Raw genomic sequence first — 1,800 nt, 5'->3', positions numbered from 1 at the left:
TCATGGAGGTACCACCTTCGTGGTCTTGAATAAGACCTGGAAGAATTATCTAGATTACAAAGTAGATACTCATTATTTTACTGTCTCCCAAACACATCTTTGTGCTGAGCCACCTGGAACTGGGGGTGTGATAAAGCAAGCACCCATGTGGCCATCACCACTGGGACTGTGCTGGTTCAGATCTGAAGCCAGCACAGCACTGGGTCTTGCCCAAGGCTCTTTTCCTTTCAGGGTAGTGAGTTAACCCAGGCCCCAAGTGTGTCCAGAGATACTAACTGGGAGCCAGGGATTTGAATTAAAAACCTTAGTAATTTACCTGATTTCTATTTTACTGTGCCTAAGCTGGCACTCAAACCACAATACAAAGTTCGTCCTGCTCTTCCTCCCACTACCACAGGCAGAGAGACCTCTCCTTGTGGCCACCACAATCACTATTCCACTGCTGGAGATCACTAGGGTTCTGCTAATCCACTGCCAATGTTCACTTAAAGCCCAAAAGCTCCTCAGTCAGTTTTTGGTGAATGCTGCCAGGACTGAGATTTACTTTCAAGGTAGGGCTCCTCTCTGTCCCAGGGCAGGTCCAGAAATGCTGTCCAAAAGCTTATGCCTGGATTTGGGGATCCCAAGAGCCTGCTGCTGCTTTACACCACTCTGATGAGCTGGTTTCTAGGGTACAAGACAAAGTCTCTTCCACTTTTCCTCGTGATTTTCTCAAACAGAAGTCTTTCACCATAGCCACCACAGCTGGAAATTTGCTCGGTCACCTTTGAAGCTAGCACCTCTCAGAGCCCAAGGCTCACAGTGTACTCCCTGGGTATTACTGGTGGTTATTCAGGGCTCACAGGCTCTTTAGTCAACAGGTGATGAAACTTACCAGGACTGCATCCTTCTCTTCAAGGCAAAAGATTCCTGTTTGGCTCAGGATGTGTCTAGAAATGTTGTCTGGGACCTAGGGCCTGGAATGGGGAACTCACAACTCTGCCTCGTGCCCAGTTCTACTGTGGCTCAGCTGGTATTTAAGATGCAAGACAATGTCCTCTTTACTCTCCTCTGCTCAAGCAGAAAGAAGGAGTACTTTAATTTCTGCAAGACACACTGCTTGGGGTTGGGAGAGGGATAGTGCAAGCATGCCCTTAACTGTGCCAGCTGGTGTCTTCCCTAGTTCATGTGCCACCCTAGGTCATTAGCTCTAAGCCCAGTTTAGCACTAGGAGTTGCCTAGGAATTACAGCCCTTGTGTCCTAAACTGCATTTCAAGTTTACTGCCTTTCAAGACCACTTCAGCTTGTGGTAGTGAGGCTTGCTAAGAAACTCAAGTTCTGACTGCTGGGATGGGCAATTACACTCCAGCTAGGGCTAATGCAAATGCTTCTCTTGTGTGAAAGTGCTAGCTGAACTCAGCATGGGCTGAACCCAGCATGGTTTTATTCTCTGCAGGGCAGCACTGAGTTCAATGTAAAGTCCCCCAGTCACTGCAGTCTCCCTCCTTAAAGTGCACAGATTTTCTCTCTGCACCACATGGCCACTGCCAGGAGACAGAAAAGGGGTGGCACTGGCAATTCAAGCCTCTGTCTCCTGTCCTCCTCAATGCTGGTTTCCATTATATGAAGTGAAATCCAGGTACTGCGATTGCTCACCTTATTTTTGGTCTTGTGACTGTGTTTTTCTGTGTGGGGATGGTTGTTAAAATTTGGTGTCAAAGCAGGGAGGCATAGCAGGATGAATGGTGTAGGCCTCTATTCTGCCACCTTCTTCCTTCTTCAGAGTCAACTATTTTGGTATGTATTTGGGGAGCAGATTT

General features: G+C 47.6%; 1 annotated feature.

Moving 5' to 3' along the window:
- Positions 1,304 to 1,598: a silencer, noted in NCBI's record as "tiled region #9057; K562 Repressive non-DNase unmatched - State 24:Quies". NCBI's record gives its function as "represses a minimal TATA promoter and a strong SV40 promoter by Sharpr-MPRA in K562 cells {active_cell/tissue: K562}" and the evidence as "EXISTENCE:reporter gene assay evidence [ECO:0000049][PMID:27701403]".

The sequence above is a fragment of the Homo sapiens genome, chromosome 3 (genome assembly GCF_000001405.40).
Source record: "Homo sapiens chromosome 3, GRCh38.p14 Primary Assembly".
In the NCBI taxonomy this organism is placed as follows: domain Eukaryota; kingdom Metazoa; phylum Chordata; class Mammalia; order Primates; family Hominidae; genus Homo; species Homo sapiens.
Note: the sequence above shows the minus strand (reverse complement) of the source record. Positions and strands in the feature narration are given on the sequence as shown.